Source organism: Homo sapiens, chromosome 19 (genome assembly GCF_000001405.40).
Source record: "Homo sapiens chromosome 19, GRCh38.p14 Primary Assembly".
In the NCBI taxonomy this organism is placed as follows: Eukaryota; Metazoa; Chordata; class Mammalia; order Primates; family Hominidae; genus Homo; species Homo sapiens.
Genome location: NC_000019.10, coordinates 4,152,019 through 4,173,181, shown reverse-complemented (window position 1 = coordinate 4,173,181; position 21,163 = coordinate 4,152,019). Strand labels below are relative to the sequence as shown.

The window sequence follows — 21,163 nt, the reverse complement described above, 5'->3', positions numbered from 1 at the left end:
GCTGCTCCAGCGCGGGCATCTGGCGGGGGTGTGGAGCCCACACCTCACTCACCCATCCCAGGCTGGCCCAGCCCCTCCTTCTGGGGAGTCGAGGAGCCCCAGACTCCGCCTCCACACCAAAACAAGGTTCTGTCAAAATACTTTATTTCGGATCAGGCAGTCTTAGAAAAGGGGGGTGATTGTGGGCCGTGGCTGCTCCAAAGACCAGGGCGCACCCGGGGCTCCGGGGCCAGGCTCCCTGCAGTCTCGGCGGCTTCCTCCTCCCAGTGTGCGAGGGAGGCCGGGAGGGGTCCCTGGGCGGGGAGTTGCTGCGCATCTGTTGTGTGTGTGCGTCTGTCTGTCTGTTCAGGTCTGTTTCAGACTACGTCTGCCTGTCTGTCCAGGTCTGTTTTAGGCTGTGTCTGCCTGTCTCTCTGTCTGGGTCTCTTTCAGGCTGCGTCGGTCTGTCTGTCTGGGTCTGTTTCAGGCTGTGTCTGTCTGTCTGTCTGGGTCTGTTTCAGGCTGTGTCTGTCTGTCTGTCCGGGTCTGTTTCAGGCTGTGTCTGGGTCTGTTTCAGGCTGTGTCTGTCTGTTTGTCTGGGTCTGTTTCAATCTGTGTCTGTCTGTCTAGGTCTGTTTCAGGCTGTGTCTGTCTGTCTGTCCGGGTCTGTTTCAGGCTGTGTCTGTCTGTCTGTCCGGGTCTGTTTCAGGCTGTGTCTGTCTGTCTGTCCGGGTCTGTTTCAGGCTGTGTCTGTCTGTCTGTCTGGGTCTGTTTCAGGCTGTTTCTGTCTGTCTGTCCGGATCTGTTTCAGGCTGTGTCTGGGTCTGTTTCAGGCTGTCTGTCTGTCTGTCTGGGTCTGTTTCAGGCTGTGTCTGTCTGTCTGTTTGTCTGGGTCTGTTTCAGGCTGTGTCTGTCTGTCCGGGTCTGTTTCAGGCTGTGTCTGTCTGTCCAGGTCTGTTTCAGGCTGTATGTGTGTCTGCTCTTTGCTTCTGCTCCTGGCTCTGTGTGTATTTCCCGGGTCCTGTGGCCCTCTTTGCCTTGTGTCTGAGTGTCGGTTCCTGCGTGGGCCTCAGTCAGGCCCTGGGTGTGTGGCTATGAGCTGTGCCTCCCCCATTCTGGCATCTCTGCTGGGGTCTTGGCCTCACGTCCCATCCCCAGGTGGGTAGCTGCCCAGTGCAGCATCCCCAAGGCACCCCTGGGCAGAGGGGCCTGGGAGCATAGTCCTGGCGGGGCTCACAGCTCGTCTCCCGCCGCCTCCAGCCCTGCACGTCCTGAGCCAGTGCTCGGCCCAGGCGCCACCCAGTCCAGCAGGGCGACCTGGCCCAGCCCCTCTGTTGCATTCCTCAGGACCAGGGTGGCGTTGTCCAGCTCCTCCGTCGAATTGGTCAGGTTCGCGGTGTCCTGGAAGCCCCAGTCTGCCCCGGGGCTTCCTGGAGACTCTTCTCGGGTTGTGTCAGCCTCGGGTCGGGGTCCTGGGGCCTCGGAGCCTGGCACAGCATCAGCAGCCACGCGGGAGGCAGCATCGTTGTGCAAAGTTCTGGAGAACACTGATTGGGGAAGGGGGGCATCACAGGGGACAAGGTGGAGGTGGGGTCCTATGCTCCCTTCCCTGGCCCCCAGCCTCAGGGAACAAGGGCACAGGGGTCTTCTCCCCCTCCCCCAGAGGCCCAGGACGGGGACTTGGGGAGACCAGACAAGGGTTTCAAAGGTGGGGATCCCCTACCTCGTACAGGCGCAAAGTCCCCAGGGCTCTCGGTTTTGTTGGGGCCAAAAGGGCTGATGGAGGGGAGGATGATGAGGGCAAAGGACAGCAACAGGACCTGGTGGAGACAGCGGCAGAGTCACCCCCTCCCTCCCCTCCCCTGCAAGCATCTCCATCCCACAGGCAGGGAAACTGAGGCCCCAAAGACCAGACTGGATCATACTTGAGCTGGGGCACAAGGAGAGCTTGGACTCATTGTCACCTCCCTATGGGCCCCTCTACAGAAGCCTAGGTCCCCGGCTTGCCTGGGGGCACCAGGACTCACTGCGACACAGGTGCCTGTCTGGGCTGACTTGCTGGTGGACTGCACCACAATGGCCTGGAGTTTCTTCAGTTGCTCCAAGAGGGACCTTAGAGAGACAGGCAGGCCTCCGCTGAGCCCTAAAGGGCCTCGGTTCTGCTTCTCGTCCATTTCCGGGGTCCCCCAGCCCCGCTAAAGTCCAAATTCCATCCATTCTTCAAGGGCCTCTGGCTCTTTATTATTTATTTTATTTATTTATTTATTTGTTTATTTATTTATTTATTTATTTTGAGACAGAGTCTTGCTCCATCGCCCAGGCTGGAGTGAGTGGTGGGATGGCAGCTCACTGCAAGCTCCGCCTCCCAGGTTCACACCATTCTCCTGCCTCAGCCTCCCGAGTAGCTGGGACTACAGGCGCCCACCACCACACCCAGCTAATTTTTTTTGTATTTTTAGTAGAGACGGGGTTTCACCGTGTTAGCCAGGATGGTCTTGATCTCCCGACCTTGTGATCCGCCCACCTCAGCCTCCCAAAGTGCTGGGATTACAGGCGTGAGCCACCACACCAGGCCTTATTTATTTATTTTTGAGACAGAGCCTTGCTCTGTCACCCAGGCTGGAGTGCAGTGGTGCGATCTCGGCTCACGGCAACCTCCGCCTCCCGAGTTCAAGCAATTCTCCTGCCTCAGCCTCTCGAGTAGCTGGGACTGCAGGTGCCCGCCACCACGCCTGGCTAATTTTTTTGTATTTTTAGTAGAGACGGGGTTTCACCATGTTGGCCAGGCTGGTTTTGAACTCCTGACCTCAGGTGATCCACCCGCCTCGGCCTCCCAAAGTGCTGAGATTACAGGCGTGAGCCACTGCACGCGGCCCATAGGTAAAACTCTTATTCCCTATGTCATTCTGCCATCACATGGGCTCTCTGCTCTTCCTGCAAAGGGACTCTGGGGCTGCTTCCCCTGTCCTCTGCCCCAGCTGGACCCAGACTCACAGGTTTTGCTTCTCGAGATGCAAGACTTTCCTCTGTAACTCCTGATTCTGAGCAGTGCAAGCTGACATCCTGAAAGGAGGAAGACGCATCGACATTCAGCATATGCCAGTCACCAGCTGGCCCCACTGACATCTCCCCCAGAGGCCTCACGTTACAAGCCAAGAGAACCCAAGGCCAGAGAGGGGAAGTCATTCATCCAAGGTTACTCGGCAGGTCAGACAGGGCTGGGATTTGAACCCACATCTGCCTGGTTCCTAGGTCCCATTTCTGCATTAATATGGAGGGGGCTTCATTCAAAGCTGAGCCCCCTGGATGGGTGTGGTGGTTCACACCTGTAATCCCAGCACTTTGGGAGGCCGTGGTGGGCGGATCACCTGAGGTCAGGAGTTCAAGACCAGCCTGGCCAACATGGTGAAACCCTGCCTGTACTAAAAATGCAAAATTAGCCAGGTGTGGTGGTGGGCGCCTATAATTCCAGCTACTTGGGAACTTGGGAGGCTAAGGCAGGAGAATCGATTGAACCCGGGAAGTGGAGGTTGCAGTGAGTCAAGATCGCACCATTGCACTCCAGCCTGGGCAACAAGAATGAAACTCTGTGTCAAAAAAAAAAAAAAAAAAAAAAAAGCTGAGCCTCCTAGATTCAGGCAGTGATGTTTCCAGAAGATGAAATATCAGGACAACCAGGCATCCTGGGAGACTCAAGTTTCTTTTTTTGTTTGTTTGTTTTTTGAGATGGAGTCTCGCTCTGTCGCCCAGGCTGGAATGCAGTGGCACAATCTCGACTCACTGCAAGCTCTGCCTTCTGGGTTCACGCCATTCTCCTGCCTCAGCCTCCCGAGTAGCTGGGACTACAGGCACCCGCCACCAAGCCCAGTTAATTTTTTTGGATTTTTTGTAAAGACAGAGTTTCACCGTGGTCTCGATCTCCTGAACTCGTGATCCGCCTGCCTCAGCCTCCCAAAGTGCTGGGATTACAAGTGTGAGCCACGGCGCCCGGCCGAGATTCAAGTTTCATCTCTCCCTCTCCCCATGACCTTGGGCCACTCCACTCTCTGATCTCAGCTTTTGTGTCTGTAAAATGGGATACAATTACCCAGGACATAGGGTGGTGGGGGGAATGACCCTGGATAAAGATGATCAGGAGCTTAGCAGATTGCATTTAAGAAAGGGGAGAGACCAGGCGCAGTGGCTCACGCCTGTAATCCCAGCACTTTGGGAGGCTGAGGCGGCCAGATCACCTGAGGTCAGGAGTTTGAGACTAGCCTGGGCAACACAGTGAAACCCCATCTCTACCAAAAATACAAAGAAATTAGCTGGGCGTGGTGGCCATGCACCTGTAATCCCAGCTTCTGGAGAGGCTGAGGCAGGAGAATCGCTTGAACCCGGGAGGTGGAGGTTGCAGTGAGCCAAGATCGCACCACTGCACTCCAGCCTGGGTGATAGAAGGAGACCCTTCCACACACACAAAAAGGAAGTGTCTATCTTCAGGCAGAGGGTCAGAATAGGATGGGTCACACTTTGTCCTTTTTCCGCACACCTTCTAGGGGGCAAAGGGTCCCCCAAACCCTTGTCCTACACCATCACTAGGCATCTTTCCATCCCTGCAATCAGTAAGAAGCATGATCTCTCCCAGAGAGGAGAATCACCTCCAATTTTGTCAGACTCTAAGCTGTGTGGCCTTAGCCACATCTCCTTCTCTCTGGGCCTCAGTTTCCTCCACGAGTGTAGAGTCTGGGTCCAGCACTACCCACCGAGTCTCCAGGCCATCGATATATTCCTTCTTCTTCTTCCTGCTTTCTTGCGCCGACTGCTTGTTCCGGATTTTCCGGCGGATTTTTTTCAGCACTCGCTCCTCGTACTGCCAAGTGAAATGGGGAGGAGGGTTTCAGGCCAGAAAGTCCCCACTTGGAGTCCGGGGGCAGTAGCTCTCGCCTGTAATCCCAGCACTTTGGGAGGCCGAGGCAGGCGTATCACCTGAGGTCAGGAGTTCGAGACCAGCCTGGCCAACATGGTGAAACACCGTCTCTACTAAAAATACAAAAATTAGCCAGGCATGGTGGCGGGTGCCTGTAATCCCAGCTACTCGGGAGGCTGAGGCAGGAGAATGGCATGAACCCGGGAGGCGGAGGTTGCAGTGAGCCAAGATCGTGCCATTGCAATCCAGCCTGGGCAACAAGAGCGAAACTCCATCTCAATAAATAAATAGATAAATAAATAAATAAATAAATAAATAAAATAATTAAAATTAAAAAATTAAAGTCTTCACTTTGGGGATGGTGCGACAGTCCCCACTGTCCTGACCCCACTTCACCTAACCTCGACCCCACAACTTCACCCCATCCTCTTTGCATACAAGACATCCCGGAGCCAAGGACCCAGAGGCAGATTCCTAATGACTTGAAGCTACCCTTTGCCCAAACCCTCACAGAGTCTCTGGGAGGTGCCTGGGTTCTGAGGGTCTTTTCCCAGCTCCCAATACTGTAAAATGGGCAACTGCCCACCAGACTTTGGGCATGGGTACCACTCCACCACCTTGTGGCCATCCCTGGAAACATCACCTTTCCCTGGCGACAGCAAGTGTTTTAAGACTAATTAATAATTTTTTTCTTCTTTCTTACGTTTCTTTCTTTTCTTTCCTTTCTTTTCCCCTCCCTCCCTCCCTCCCTCCCTTCCTTCCTTTCTCCCTTTCTCTCTTTCTCTCTTTCTCTTTCTCTTTCTCTCTTTCTTTCCTTTTCTTCCTTTCTTTCCTTCTTTTCTTCCTTTCTTTCTTTCCTTTCTTTCTTTCTTTTCTTTCTTTTCCTTTCTTTCTTTCTTTCTTTTCTTTCCTTCCTTTTCTCTCTCTCTCTCTCTCTCTCTTTCTTTCTTTCTTTCTTGTTTCGCTCTTGTCACCCAGGCTGGAGTGCAGTGGCAAGATCTCAGCTCACTGCAACCTCCACCCCCAGGGTTCAAGTGATTCTCCCACCCCAGCTTCCCAAGTAGCTGGGATTACAGGTGCACAACACCATGCCTGGCTAATTTTTGTATTTTTAGTAGAGACAGGGTTTCACCATGTTGGCCAGGCTGGTCTCAAACTCCTGACCTCAGGTGATCCGCCCATCTTTGCCTCCCAAAGAGCTGGGATTACAGGCATGAGACACCACACCCGGCCAATAAGTGTCTTCAAATGGGAATGTCAGGCTGGGCGCGGTGGTTCACAGTGCTGTAATCCCAGCACTTTGGGAGGCCAAGGCAAGAGGATCGCATAAGTCCAGGAGTTCAAGACTAGACTGGGCAACATTTAGTAAAGACCCTGTCTCTACTAAAACAAAACAACAACCACAAAATCAGCTGGGTGTGGTGGTGCATGCCTATAGTCCCAGCTACTTGGGAGGCTGAGGCAGGAGGATCCCTTGAGACCAGGAGTTCAAGGTTGCAGTTAGCTGCTACCTGCAGATTGTACCACTGCACTCCAGCCTGAGCGACAAAGTGAGATCCTATCTCAAAACAAACAACAACAACAATAGAAACAGATGGGGCCAGGCACGGTGGCTCACACCTGTAATCTTAACACTTTGGGAGGCCAAGGTCAGAGGACTGCTTGAGGCCAGGAGTTTGAGACCAGCCTGGGCAACATAGCAAGACCCTGTCTCTAAGGAAAAAAAAAAATGCTGGGCGCAGTGGCTCACACCTGTAATCCCAACACTTTGGGAGGCTGAGCTGGGCAGATCACAAGGTCAAGAGATCGAGACCATCCTGGCCAACATGGTGAAACTCTGTCTCTACTCAAAAAAAAAAAAAAAAAAAAAAATTAGCCAGGCGTGGTGGCGCGTGCCTGTAATCCCAGCTACTTAGGAGGCTGAGGCAGGAGAATCACTTGAACCTGGGAAGCGGAGGTTGCAGTGAGCCGAGATCGCGCCACTGCACTCCAGCCTGGGCAACAAAAGCGAAACTCCGTCTCAGGAAAAAAAAAAAAATTAGCTAGGCATAATGGCATACACCTGTAGTCCCAGCTGCTAGGGAGGCTGATGTGGGAGAATCACTTGTACTCCAGAGGGGGAAGTTGGAGTGAGCCAAGATCACCTCACTCCACTCCAGCCTGGGCAACAGAGTCAGAACCTGTCTCAATAGAAAAAAAAAAAAAACAGATGAGAATATCAAACTCAGGCATTGATACTGAGTGCAGCAGGCTGGGTGGGGACTGTGGTTAGCTAGAGAACCCAAACAGCTACCCAGCCATTGACTGGTGCATATGGAGGTTTGAGAATATGAAACAGAGGACATTCAAGTAATTGAGTTGGTTTTTTGGATTTTGTTTTGTTTATGTTTTTAGTTTTTTTGTTTTTGTTTTTGTTTTGACAGAGTTTCGCTCTTGTCACCCAGGCTGGAGTGCAGTGGTACCATCTCGGCTCACTGCAACCTCCACCTCCCGGGTTCAAGGGAGATCCTCCTGCCTCAGCCTCCTGAGAAGCTGGGAGGCTGAGAAGCACCTTACAGTTGCCCACCACCAGGCACAGCTAATTTTTGTAATTTTAGTAGAGACGGGGTTTCACCATGTTGGCCAGGCTAGTCTCGAACTCCTGACCTCAAGTGATCCTCTGCCTCAGCCTCCCACAGTGCTGGGATTACAGGTGTGAGCCACCGTGCCCAGCCTCAAGTCACTGAGTTCTCTTGTAAAATCTACCGGTCAGAAAAACATTATCAAGCAATTCAAAAATGTATAAAATGCAGTACAGTCCAATCAAAACATGTCTGCAGGGCCAGGCATGATGGCTCATGCCTGTAATCCCAACACTTTGGGAGGCCAAGGTGGGAGAATCACTTGAACCCAGGAGTCCCAGCCCAGCCTGGGCAACATAACAAGACCCCATTTCTACAAAAAAAAAAAAAAAATTAAATTAGCCAAGTGTAGTGGCGTGCACCTGTCATCCTAGCTACTTGAGAGGCTGAGGCGGGAGGATCTCTTGAGCCCAGGAGGTCAAGGCTGAAGTGAGCTATGATGGCACCACTGCACTCCAGCGGGACACAGCAAGACCCTATCTCCAAAAAAAAAAAAAAGTTTGCTGCACCCAAATTGCTGCCACCTGGAGTCCGCCATTCATTCCTGGATGTTGATAATTACCCTCTGAGTTGAATTTACAATGGGGCTTCTGACTGATTGTTTTGGCTCTGGTGACAGACACAGCATAGCATTCTAGTACGGGTGTTCTAAAGGTGAGACACATAGCCAGTGCGGTGGCTCACGCCTGGAATCCCAGCACTTTGGGAGACCGAGGCAGGAGGATCACATGAGGTCAGGAGCTCGAGACCAGCCTGGCCAACATGGTGAAACCCTGTCTCTACTAAAGATACAAAAATTAGCTGGGCGTGGTGGCGCATGGCTGTAATCCCAGCTACTCAGGAGGCTGAGGCGGGAGAATCGCTGGAATCTGAGAGGCAGAGGTTGCAGCAAGCTGAGATCGTGCCACTGCATCCCAGCCTCAGTGACAGAGAAAGACTCTACTCTAAATAAATAAATAAAGGTGGGACACACATGCAGGTAAGTGCACGAAGGGGAGATGGATCCAGGGCTGGAAGTCCCCCCAGACTCACCTTAGTGAGGGGCAGCTGAGTGGGCAGGGTGATGCCTTCTTTAGCCAGCAGCTTCTTCTCATCCTCGGTGAGCACCAGCTCCTGACAGTGCCCAGCCCCAGGTCGCAGGAGGTAGGAGGCCCCCAGGTGATGCTGTTGCTACGGAAAAAATCAGAGGAATGACGGCGGGTGCAGGGACGCCAACTGCCTTCAGGAAATGAAAGAGGTATCAGATCGAAAACACTATCACCCCAGGCTGGGTGTGGTGGCTCACGCCTGTCATCCCAGCACTTAGAGAGGCTGAGGCATGTGGATCACTTGAGCTCAGGAGATCGAGACCAGCCTGGGTAACATGATGAAACCTCGTCTCTACTAAAAATACAAAAATTGCCCAGGTGCGGTGGCTCATGCCTGTAATCCCAGCACTTTGGGAGGCCGAGGTGGGCAAATCACTAGGTCAGGAGTTTGAGACCATCCTGGTCAACATGGTGAAACCCCGTCTCTACTAAAAATACAAAAAGTTAGCTGGGCGTAGTGGCGGGTGCCTGTAATACCAGCTACTTGCGAGGCTGAGGCAGGAGAATCGCTTGAACCCAGAAGTCAGAGGTTGCAGTGAGCCGAGATTGTGCCACTGCACTCCAGCCCTAGTGACAGTATGAGACTCCGTCTCAAAAAAAAAAAAAAAAAAAAATTACCCGACCATGGTGGCGGCGCCTGTAATCCCAGCTACTCAGGAGGCTGAGGCAGGAGAACTGCTTGAACCCGGGAAGCAGAGGTTCCAGTGAGCCCAGATCACACCACTGCACTCCAGCCTGAGAGACAGAGTAAGACTCTGTCTCAAAAAAAAAAAAAAAGAAAAGGTGGCTCACGTCTGTAGTCCCAGCACTTTGGGAGGCCGAGGCAGGTGGATCACTTGAGGTCAGGAGTTCGAGACTAGCCTGGCCAACATGGTGAAACCCTGTCTCCATTAAAAATACAAAAATCAGCCTGGTGTGGTGGCACGTGCCTGCAATCCCAGCTACTCGGGAGGCTGAGGCAGAAGAACCGCTTGAACCCGGGAGGCAGGGGTTGCAGTGATCTGAGATCCAGCCTGGGCGACAGAAATTCTGTCTCAAAACAGCAACAACAAAAACTATCACTCCTGCCACCACAGAATCTCCCTTGGCAGCAGGGCTCGAAATAACCAACACACGGTCCTTTGACCGGGTCATTCTACCTTCAGAAATCAGTCCTACAGATATCCTCACACACGCGCAAAATGGCATATGGACAGGGTTCTTTCTTTCTTTCCTTCCTTCCTTCCTTCCTTCTTTCTTTCTTTCTTTCTTTCTTTTCTTTCTTCTTTCTTTCTTTCTTAGACGAGTCTCGCTCTGTCGCCCAGGCTGGAGTGCAGTGGCGCGATCTCGGCTCACTGCAAGCTCTGCTTCCCGGGTTCACGCCATTCTCCTGCCTCAGCCTCCTGAGTAGCTGGGACTACAGGTGCCCGCCACCACGCCCGGCTAATTTTTTGTTATTTTTAGTAGAGACGGGGTTTCACCGTGTTAGCCAGGAAGGTCTCGATCTCCTGACCTCGTGATCTGCCCGCCTCGGCCTCCCAAAGTGCTGGGATCACAGGCGTGAGCCACCGCGCCCGGCCCTTTTGACAGCTTTCTTCTTTTCATTGTATTATTACTATTATTATTTTTGAAATAGGGTCTTGCTACTTCACCCGGGTTGGAGTGCCGTGGTGCTCTCTTGGCTCACTGCAACCTCCGCCTCCCGGGCTCAAGCGATTCTCCAGCTTCAGCTTCCCGAGTAGCTGGAACCACAGAGCGTACCGCCATGCTTGGCTAATTTTGAATTTTTTGTAGAGATGGGGTTTCACTCTGTTGCCCAGGCTGGTCTCAAACTCCTGGGCTCAAGCAATCTGTCCACTTCAGCCTCCCAAATTCCTGGGATTACAGGCATGAGCCACCACACCCATCTTTTCTTCTTTTAAGATGCAAGATGTCACTGTGTCACCCAGGCTGGAGTGCAGTCGTGTGATCATAGCTAACTGCAGCCTTGACCTCCTGAGCTCAAGTGATCCTCCTGCCTCTGCCTCCTGAGTAGCTGGGACTACAGGTGTGCGCCACCACACTCAGCTAATTTTTTTTTTTTTTTTTTGTAGAGACGAGGTCTTGCTATGTTGCCCAGGCTGGTCTTCAACTGCTGATAACTAGCATTTATAAATGCATCATTTTTTTTTGTATCGTTGTTCTGTATGTCAGCTATACAAAAAAAATGGGAGGTCGAGGCAGGAGGATCACTTGAGCTTAGGAATTTGAGGCAGTTGTGGTGACAGAGGGAAACCTTGACTTTAAATAAAATAAAATAAGGCCAGGCACAGTGGCTCATGCCTGTAATCCCAGCACTTTGGGAGGCTGAGGCGGGTGGATCACCTGATGTCAGGAGATCGAGACCAGCCTGACCAACATGGTGAAACCCCGTCTCTACTAAAAATACAAAAATTAGTCGGGCATGGTGGCAGGCACCTGTAGTCCTAGCTACCTGGGGGCTGAGGTATGAGAATCACTTGAGCCCAGGAGGTGGAGGCTACAGTGAGCCGAGACTGTGGCACTGCACTTAGCCTGGACGACGGACCATGACTCTGTCTCAAAAAATAAACAAATAAAATAAAACAAAATAAGCCAGTTATCATTGCCAAAGCAGTCGTTCATTCTCCTTTCCCTTCCTTCATGGCCTGCTGAAGTACTGCCTCCTCCGGGAAGCCTTCCTGGATCTGCAGTGACCCTGCAGGCTCTCTTTCTTTTCTGTACACCTTAATGAACAGTACATCGCCCCATCCTGACCATCAGATCCTAGAGGCTGAGCACACAGCTGGTGCTCACTGCATATCCCTCTAGTTGCCAGGGGCACCCTGGCCTTCACTAGAGATTATCAGGATAACCTTTGGCATTGGAGAAACAGGATTTCAAAACCCTGAGTCTGCCACTTGCATGCTGTGTGACTTAGGGCTCATGGCTTAACCTCTCTGGGCCTTGACCTACCTTCTCATCTGCAAAATGGGTTTGGGTTGTCAAACCTGGCTTATGGGAGCGTGAAGCCCTTGGCAGGGTAGATGGCCTTCAATTGGTGTGCAATGGGCACCATAAGCTCAATAGACCATCCCAGGGATCAAGCCTGCATCAGCTGTGTAGCATTGGGCAAATGACTGAACCTCTCTGTGCCCTTTTTCTCCTATGTAAAATTAAGATAATAAAAGCCCCAGGCGGGGCGCAGTAGCTCATGCCTATAATCCAGCACTGTGAGAGGACAAAGCAGGAGGATCACTTGAGGCTACGAGTTCAAGACCAGCCTGGGAAACATAGCAAGACCCATATCTACAGAAAAAAATTAAAAGAAAAATCAGCTGGGTCTAAACGGGGCACGGTGGCTCACGCCTGTAATCCCAGCACTTTGGGAGGCCGAGGTGGGCAGATCACGAGGTCAGGAGATCGAGACCATCCTGGCTAACATGATGAAACCCTGTCTCCACTAAAAATACAAAAAAAATCCTGGCTAATACAGTTAAACCCCATCTCTACTAAAAAGATACAAAAAATCAGCCAGGTGTGGTGGCGGGCGCCTGTAGTCCCAGCTACTCGGGAGGCTGAGGCAGGAGAATGGTGTGAACCCGGTAGGCGGAGCTTGCAGTGAGCCGAGATCACGCCACTGCACTCCAGCCTAGGTGACAGAGCAAGACTCCGTCTCAAAAAAAAAAAAAAAAAAGAAAAGAAAAATTAGACAGGTGGCGCGGCATGCTCCTGTAGTCCCAGCTGCTGGGGAGGCTGAGGCAGGAGAATGGTGTGAACCCGGTAGGCGGAGCTTGCAGTGAGCCGAGATCACGCCACTGCACTCCAGCCTAGGTGACAGAGCAAGACGCCATCTCAAAAAAAAAAAGAAAAAAGAAAAACAAAATTAGCCAGGCCTGGTGGTGCATGCCTGTAATCTCAGCTACTTGGGAGGCTGAGGCAGGAGAATCACTTGAACCCGGGAGGCAGAGGTGGCAGTGATCCGAGATTGCACCACTGCACTCCAGCCTGGGCAACAGAGCAAGATTCTGTCTCAGAAAAATAAAATAAAATAAAAAAGACAAGAAAAATTAGCTGGGTGTGGTGGTGCACGCCTGTAGTCCCAGCTACTTGGGAGTCTGAGGCAGGAGGATCGCTTGAGGCCAGGAGTTTGAGGCTGCAGTGAGCTAGGATTGCGCCACTGCACTCCAGCCTGGGCGATAGAGTGAGATCCTGTCTCAAAAAAAACTTTTTTAAGATGATAAATAAAGAGCGCCTGGCATATAGCAGGTGCAGCCTCAGTTTTAGCTTTGTTCTTTTTGTTGTTGTTATTGTTGAGACAGTCCTGGTCTGTTGGCCAGGCTGGAGTGCAGTGGTACAATCACAGCTCACTGCAGCCTTGACCTCCTGGGCTCAAGCGATCCTTCCACCTCAGCCTCCCGAGTAGCTGGGACCACAGGCATGTGCCACCATGCCAGGCTAATTTTTGTATTTTTTGTATAGATGGGGTTTCACCATGTTGCCCAGGCTGGTCTCAAACTCCTGAGCTCAAGCGATCTGCCTGCCTTGGCCTCCCAAAGTGCTGGGATTACAGGTGTGAACCACCACACTCAGCCAGTTTTAGCTTTTAGTTGTTGTTGCTATTGTTACTACTAAGTACTACAGAGGAAGACACCCCAGCCCAGGCGACAGTGAGCCCAGGACTGGAATGGTCTCTAACTGTGGGCAAATTCCACGCCTTTCTGTGACTCAGTTTTCCAGTCTCTGAAACGGGGATATTTAGGCTCCTCGAACCCGAGCAGCCCTCCCAGCTCCAACGCCCCATGGGAGGGTGTGGGGGTGCTCACCAGGTCCCCACTGCTGCCCGAAAGGAGGAGGTCTTTCACGGTGAGATTGCATCGTGGGGACAGGTCCACCGGATCAGCCGGCTTCTCAGCACAGATCCTTCCTCCTGGGCTCCACATTTCTGACCAGGGCAGGTGGGGACGGAGACAGGGAGAGTGTCAGACGGGGGGAGTCCTGAGCTTCCAGCCTCTAACCGCCTCCTCCACCAAGTCTCCCATGATTAATCCCAACATTCATATGACTTCTGCCAGAGTTTGGAGTCCCCAAGGCCTGAGTTGAAGGGGGCAGCCCTCACTAGTGACTCGGTCTCCCCTCTGCTATAAGATGGGAACCCAGCCAGTCATGGTGGCTCACGCCTGTATTCCCAGCACTTTGGGAGGCCAAGGCAGGCGGATCATCTGAGGTTAGGAGTTCAAGACCAGCCTGGCCAACATGGTGAAATCCCATCTCTATTAAAAATACAAAAATTAGCCGGGCCTGGTGGCGTGCACCTGTAATCCCAGCTGCTCGGGAGGCTGAGGCAGGAGAATCACTTGAACCCGGGTGGTGGACGTTACAGTGAGCTGAGAATGTGGCACTGCCCTCCAGCCTGGGTGACACAGCGAGACTCCATCTCAAAAAAAAAAAAAAGATGGGGACCCAAATTCAACAGGGCTTGGTTCTGTCCGTCCCACAAGGCTGAGGAAGACACAGGACATTGTCAGGAGACACCGGCTGATTCAAAAGGGAGTGGCTGTTATCACACAGAATTACAGGCTAGATTTGCAGCCAGCCAGGCGTTATCTCACCCAAGGGGCAGGGACGAGGTCTGATTCACCTCTGGTTGTCCCCTCCTGGTAGCCGGCATGCAGTAGGCATGCTGTCCCAGCACACAAACTTTGGGTCAGGTAACCCTTGGTTCTAATCCTGGTTGGGCAGGGCTGTGTGACCTTGAGTAAGTGACTTCACCTCTCTGAGCCTCAGATTTTTTTTTTTTTTTTTTTTTGAGACGGAGTCTCGCTCTGTCGCCAGGCTGGAGAGCAGTGTGGCAATCTTGGCTCACCGCAACCTCCACCTCCCAGGTTCAAGAGATTCTCCTGCCTTAGCCTCCCGAGTAGCTGAGACTACAGGCGCCTGCCACCACACCCAGCTAATTTTTGTATTTTTAGTAGAGACAGAGGTTTCACCATGTTGGCCAGGATGGTCTCGATCTCTTGACCTCGTGATCCGCTCGCTTCGGCCTCCCAAAGTGCTGGGATTACAGGCGTGAACCACTGTGCCCAGCATTTTTTGTTTTTGGCTTTTTTTCGAGACAGAGTCTGGCTCTGTCAGCCAGGATGGAGTGCAGTGGCATGATCTCAGCTCACTGCAACCTCCGCCTCCCGGGTTCAGGTGATTCTCCTGCCTCAGGCTCCTGAGTAGCTGGGACTACAGGTGGCCCCCACCATGCCCGGCTAATTTTGTATTTTTAGTAGAGATGGGGTTTCACCATGTTGGCCAGGCTGGTCTTGAAGTCCTAACCTCAAGTGATCCGCCTGCCTCAGCCTCCCAAAGTGCTGGGATTACAGGCATGAGTCACCGCTCCGGGCCTGAGCCTCAGTTTTGTCAACTCTCCAATGGGACCAAGAAGAGCTCATAGCAAGGGTCAAGGGACAAAGGCCACCCAGAGGCCAAGTATCTCCAGCCAGGGCTCTGCCTGGCCCGCCGGGAATGCTTAATCAATAGAGTAAATCATTACTGATCTGCTGTTCCCCACGTCTAGGAGGAGCACCCTGGAACCTAGGACCTGGTAACCTCATGCACTTTTATTGAGCATCTACAGGCTGGGTGGAGCGGCTCACACCTGTAATCTCAGCACTTTGGGAGGCTGAGGTGGGCAGATCACCTGAGCTCAGGAGTTCAAGACCAGCCTGGCCAACATGGTGAAACCTCGTCTCTACTAAAAAATAAATATTAGCTGGGCATGGTGGCATATGCTTGTGATCCCAGCTACTCAGGAGGCTGAGGCAGGTGAATTGCTTGAACCTGGAAGGCAGAGGTTGCAGTGAGCCGAGATCGCGCCACTTTACTCCAGCCTGGGTGACAGAGTGAAACTCTGTCTCAAAAAATAAAAATAAATAAAAAATAAAAAAAAATCTACTAGGAACCAGGCACGGGGTACAGACACGTAGAAGGCAAGACCCTGACTTTGGGCTGTGCTTGTCAGCACCATGCCTGGTGCCTGAGCCACCTGCCGGGGTTGCATCCTAGCTCTGTGGTTTTAGCTCATTGCTCAACCTGACAGGACTGTTTCACGATCTGGAAAATGGGCTCCCAATAGCATCCACGTGAAAGCATGGAAACACCTAGCCAAGGGAGACACGTGTCCTGAGTTTGAGTCTGGGCCCAGCTCCAAATTGCTGTGTGACCTTGGACAAGATGCCAGCCCTCTCTGGGCCTCCATTTCCTCACTTACAGGAAGGGCCCTGGAACAAGGTGAGGGCGGTGGGCAGAGACACAGCAGGACTCACCCAGGTCTATGGTCACAGAGGCTTCAGGTACTTGGATCACTGGCCCTGGGGTTGTGGTGGAGCAAGAGTTGCCAGGATGATAGGAGAGGCAGGGCCCCTTGCCAGGCTGGGCAGGATGGCAGCCGGCGGGGGAGGTGGCTGGTCCGCTGCGTGGAGGGGTGTCCTGGGGGTCGGAGGGGAGGTCTTCGGAGATGCCACTATCACTGCCTTCGGGGGACCAGAGTGGGGAGCTGGGCAGTGAGTCTCCAGAGCCCAGGATGGAGCTGAGGAAGTCGTCAGAGTCGGGGTTTGGCAGGACCTGCTGGGGTGGACAGGGAGGGGTAGTAGGAATTAGGAAGTGCTCACTCTTTTTAGATTAGTGTGTGGCCCCAGGGAAACCAGTGACCCTCTTTGGGCCTTAGGTGTCCTTCCCTTCTCCAAGATGAGTTACTGCTTCTTCCTCCCGGGGCTGCTGAGGCTCAAACGCAGTAACATAGCATAAAAATCCCAGCCAGTGCCAGGTGCAGTGGCTCCTGCCTGTAATCCCAGCACTTTGGGAGGCCGAGGAGGGCGAATCACTTGAGGTCAGGAGTTCGAGATCCGCCTGGCCAACATGATGAAACCCCATTTCTTCTAAAAATACAAAAAGTAGCTGGGCGTGGTGGCGGGCATCTGTAGTCCCAGCTACTCGGGAGTCTGAGGAAGGAGATTCTGAACCCGTAAGACGGAGGCTGCAGTGAGCCGAGATCACGCCACCGCACTCCACCCTAGGCAACAGAGCAAGACTCCATCTCAAAAAAAAAAAAAAAAGAAAAAAAGAAAAACAAAAGAGCCAGGCACGGTGGCTCAGGCCTGTAATCCCAGCACTTTGGGAGGCCAAGGCGGGCAGATCACCTGAGGTCGGGAGTTTGAGACCAGCCTGACCAACAGGGAGAAACCCCGTCTCTACTAAAAATTCAAAATTAGCCAGGCATGGTGGCACATGCCTGTAATCTCAGCTACTCGGGAAGCTGAGGCAGGAGAATCACTTGAACCTGGGAGGTGGGGGTTGCGGTATGCCAAGATCACACCATTGCACTCCAGCCTGGGCAAAACAACAGCGAAACTCTGTCTAAGAAAGAGAGAGAGAGAGGAAGGAAGGGAGGAAGGGAGGAAGGGAGGGAGGGGGAGAGAGAGAGAGACAGAGAGAGAGGGGGGGAGAGAGAGAGAGAGAGAGAGAGAGAGAGAGAGAGAGAAACGAGAGAGAGAGAGAAAGAAAGAGAAAAAAGGGCCGGGTGTGGTGGCTCACGCCTATAATCCCAGCACTTTGGGAGGCCAAGGCAGGTGGATCACCCGAGGTCAGAAGTTCAAGACCAGCCTGGCCAACATGGTGAAACCCCATCTCTACTAAAAACACAAGAAATTAGCCGAGCGTGGTGGCGGCTGCCTGTAATCCCAGCTACTCGGGAAGTTGAGGTAGGAGAATCACTTGAACCTGGGATGCGGAGGTTGCAGTGAGCCAAGATCGCGCCATTGCGCTCCAGCCTGGGTGACAAGAGTGAAACTCTATCTCAAAAAAAAAAAAAGAGAGTAAAAGAAAGAGGGAGAAAGGAAGGAAAAAAGGAAGGAAGGAAGGAAGGAAAGAGAAAAAGAGAGAGAAAAGAAAGAAAAAAAAGAAAGTGGGCCGGGCGCGGTGGCACACGCCTGTAATCTCAGCACTTTGGGAGGCTGAGGTGGGTGGATCACAAGGTCAGGAGTTCAAGACCAGCCTGGCCAGGATAGTGAAACCCATCTCTACTAAAAATACAAAAATTAGCCAGGTGCAGTGGCGGGCGCCTGTAATCCCAGCTACTTGGGAGGCTGAGGCAAGAGAATCGCTTGAACCCGGGAGGCAGAGGTTGCAGTGAGCCGAGATGGCACCACTGCACTCCAGCCTGGGCAACAGAGCGAGACTCCTTCAAAAAAAAAAAAAAGAAGAAGAAAGAGAGAAAGGAAGGAGAGGAAGGAGAAGAGAACCGAACCTAGCCAGGGAGATGCCCCAAGTTTGAGTTTGAACCTAACTCCAAATTGCTGTGTGACTTTGGATGAGTTTCCACCCTGCTCTGGGCCTCCATTCCCCACCTGTAAGAAGGAGCTGATGCTACCCGCTAAATGATGTGCTTGGCTAAAATCAAGCACCGTGACCCATTAGTGCATCGTAGAGCTGAGCAGAGCTCTGGCTGGGCTCTGGCGGGTCTAGCACCTTCGTGGGGCCTCAGTTGGCCCGCCTGGAGCTCTGTGGTCCCGGGGCAACTGCAGTGGACTCCTCACCTGGTCCTTGACGTGACCCCAGCCCTCGCCCAGCTCCACGTGTCTCAGGATGCCGTCCTGCCGGTCAAACAGGAGATCCAGGAGCTCAAAGCTGTCGATGGGGTCCATGGAGCAGGCAGCAGAAGCCATCTGGGGCGCGAGGAACAGATGTGAGGGTCACATACAGCCCCTGTCCTCCCCACCTCCCATGTGCACATAACCCTGGCTCTTTCCGGCTAGAGTTCAGTTGCCGCTCTGCCTCCGGGTTGGGCCAGCTGCTGCCCCTCGCTGAGACTCCCTTTCCAAATCTGGACTTTGAGGCTGATAGAGAGAATTCCACAGTGTGAGAGCCAATTTCTCTTAAAGTGCTGGAGAGGCTGGATGTGGTGGCTCATGCCTGTAATCTCAGCACTTTGGGAGGCCGGGGCAGGAGGATCACTTGAGCCCAGGAGTTCAAGACCAGCCTGCGCAACATAGAGACCCCTATCCCTACTGCAAATAATTTAAAAAAATTAGCTGGCTGCGGTGGCACACACTTGTCGTCCCAGCTACTGGGGAGGCTGAGGTAGGAGGATCCCTTGAACCCAGGAGGTTGAGGCTGCAGTGAGCTATGGCCACCCCACTGCACTCCACCCTGGGTCACAGAGCAAGACCTTGTTTCAAAAAACAAAAAAGTATGGCAGGCACGGTGGCTCACATCTGTAATCCCAGCACTCTGGGAAGCCGAGGCGGGCAGCTCACCTGAAGTCAGGAGTTTGAGACCAGCCTAGCCAACATGGTGAAACCCTGTCTCTAGGAAAAGTACAAAAATTAGCCGGGCGTGGTGGTGCACACCTGTAATCCCAACTACTTGGGAGGCTGAGGCAGGAAGATCTCTTGAACCCAGGAGGTGGAAGTTGCAGTGAGCTGAGATCGTGCCATTGCACTCTAGCCTGGGTGACAGAGGGAGACTCCATCTCAAAAAATAAAAATAAAAATAAAATAAAATAAAATAAAAAGTGCTGGAGAGAGGCCCTAGCTAGAGATGCCGCTTGCCTCTCAGGCCTTCACAGCCTCCCCAAGTGCCCGCTCCTAGGAGGCAGGGGGACCTGGAAGAAAGACAAGGGCAGCCCCGGGGCAAAGGCACACAGTTTTGCTCATTGCATCCTTTCTCTGGGCCTCAGTCTTCCCATCTGTACAATAGGGGTGGAGATGGGGTCCTTCCAGCTCTGGCAGCTTGGGTAGGCTTTCCCAGCCTAGACTCCCGCTCTCCCTGGGGACCTAGTAGGGCTCACCTTTCCAGCAGCTAAATCCGTATTCATGGGTCCATCCAGTTCTGTCTGCAGATGCCTCGGGGGGTCTCTGCTCCAAGCTGGAGGCCCACCCACCGCCAGCGTTACCTGGGGCCGGGCAAGCTCACAGCCCTCTGTGGCTCTGTCACCACTCCCAAAAGATGCTGAAGCGGTCACAGGCAGCTCCCAGCCCACCTCCAGGTGCTGATTGGTGGACAGGGTGGAGAGACAGGGTTGAGGGCCAGTGACACTGGGGCAGGCAGGAGCAGGGGAGGGAAGACCGTTATCTGGGTGTTTTGTGGTTTTCCAGCCCTCAGTGAGCAAAGGTCGAAGTCTGGGGTACCTCCACTCTGCCGTGACCTCTGCCCTACTTATGAGGACTTTTTCTTTTTTTCTTTCTTTTTTGAGACGGAGTCTCGCTCTGTGGCCCAAGCTGGAGTGCAGTGGTGCCATCTCATTTCGGCTCACTGCAACCTCTGCCTCTTGGGTTCAAGTGATTCTCCTGCCTCAGCCTCCCGAGTAGCTGGGACTACAGGTCCCCATCACCATGCCCGGCTAACTTTTGTATTTTTAGTAGAGACGAGGTTTCATCATGTTTTCCAGGCTGGTCTCGAACTCCTGACCTCGTGATCGGCCCCTCAGTCTCCCAAAGTGCGGGGATTACAGGCGTGAGCCACCGCACCCGGCCAGTTACAGGACTTTTTCTCTTCAGAATTCCCAGATGGGTTCTGGGATAGCCCAGGGCCCTTACATGGGTCCTGTCCACTCCCTGGACAGAAACAAACCAAGAGGACCAGACCAGATCTTCACTGAAGCCAGTTTTCCTGCCAGCAGCTAGCGGCTCCCATCCTTCACCCCACCTGCCAACCTCCGGCCCCCAGCCCCCTCCGAAACCAGCTTGGACTCCGCCTCTGAGTCCCCATGGGTGATTCTGTGCAATCAATTCTCTCTAGAATCTTCTATCGTTCATTGAGTCAACAAATATTTATGGAGCCAAACTGGTTCCTGCTTAGGGCCTTTGCACCTACTCACCTGCTCGCCCCTCTGCCTGGAACTCTCCTCTTGTACCCTCCCTCTTCCCCTCTGGCTCTAGGTCACTGTATTGACATTTTAGTGAATGTTCGATATTTGTGAATCAGCCCGGGTGGCTGAGAGGTGTCTCTGACCTCCCCTCCACCCCCTACCAAGAGAGAGGAGCCCTGTTTTGTTTTTTTGTTTTTTTTTTTGGTGTTGGTGGAGGACAGGGTCTCACTCTATTGCCCAGGCTGGAGTGCAGTGGCAGGATCATAGCTCACTGCAGCCTCCAACTCCTGGGTTCAAGTGATCCTCCCGTCTCAGCCTCCCAAGTAGCTAGGACTGCAGGCGTGCACCACCACACCTGGCTAATTTTGTTTTTTTTTTTTTATAGAGATGGGGTCTTACTGTGTTGGCCAGTATGGTCTCAAACTCCTGGGCTCAAATGATCCACCTGCTTCAGCCTCCCAAAGTGCTGGATTTACAGGCATGAGCCACTGTGCCCAGGCAAAGTCCCCCTTTAGCAGATGACATATTAGACCAAGCGTGGTGGCTCACATCTGTAATGCCAGCACTTTGGGAGGCCGAGGTGGGTGGATCACCTGAGGTCAAGAGTTTGAGACCAACCTGGCCAACATGGTGAAACCCCATCTGTACTAAAAATATAAAAATTAGATGGGTGTGGTAGCACATGCCTGCAATACCAGTACTCGGGAGGCCGAAGCAGGAGAATCACTTGAACCCA

The 21,163-nt window shown here is 52.8% G+C and overlaps 1 protein-coding gene across 4 annotated transcripts, besides 1 other annotated feature; it reads right to left on the bottom strand.

Annotated features, from left to right (window-relative positions):
- Positions 128-19,551, bottom strand: CREB3L3 (cAMP responsive element binding protein 3 like 3). Of its 4 annotated transcripts, none has more exons than NM_032607.3 (10): positions 19,408-19,551; positions 18,155-18,283; positions 15,887-16,187; positions 13,400-13,518; positions 8,542-8,679; positions 4,725-4,831; positions 2,974-3,042; positions 2,007-2,091; positions 1,703-1,799; positions 128-1,526 (listed from the first exon to the last, which is right to left on the bottom strand). In NM_032607.3, the coding sequence occupies exons 1-10, from the start codon at positions 19,432-19,434 to the stop codon at positions 1,213-1,215; spliced, it is 1,386 nt and encodes a 461-aa protein (NP_115996.1). In that variant the 5' UTR covers positions 19,435-19,551; the 3' UTR covers positions 128-1,212. The 4 variants fall into 4 exon arrangements, with proteins under 4 accessions (NP_115996.1, NP_001258925.1, NP_001258924.1 ...); NM_001271996.2 differs by having other exon boundaries at positions 8,542-8,673; NM_001271995.2 differs by having other exon boundaries at positions 15,887-16,184.
- Positions 1,156-1,450: a silencer, noted in NCBI's record as "tiled region #11650; K562 Repressive non-DNase unmatched - State 20:ReprD". NCBI's record gives its function as "represses a minimal TATA promoter and a strong SV40 promoter by Sharpr-MPRA in K562 cells {active_cell/tissue: K562}" and the evidence as "EXISTENCE:reporter gene assay evidence [ECO:0000049][PMID:27701403]".
- Positions 19,552-21,163: the final 1,612 nt, after the last annotated feature.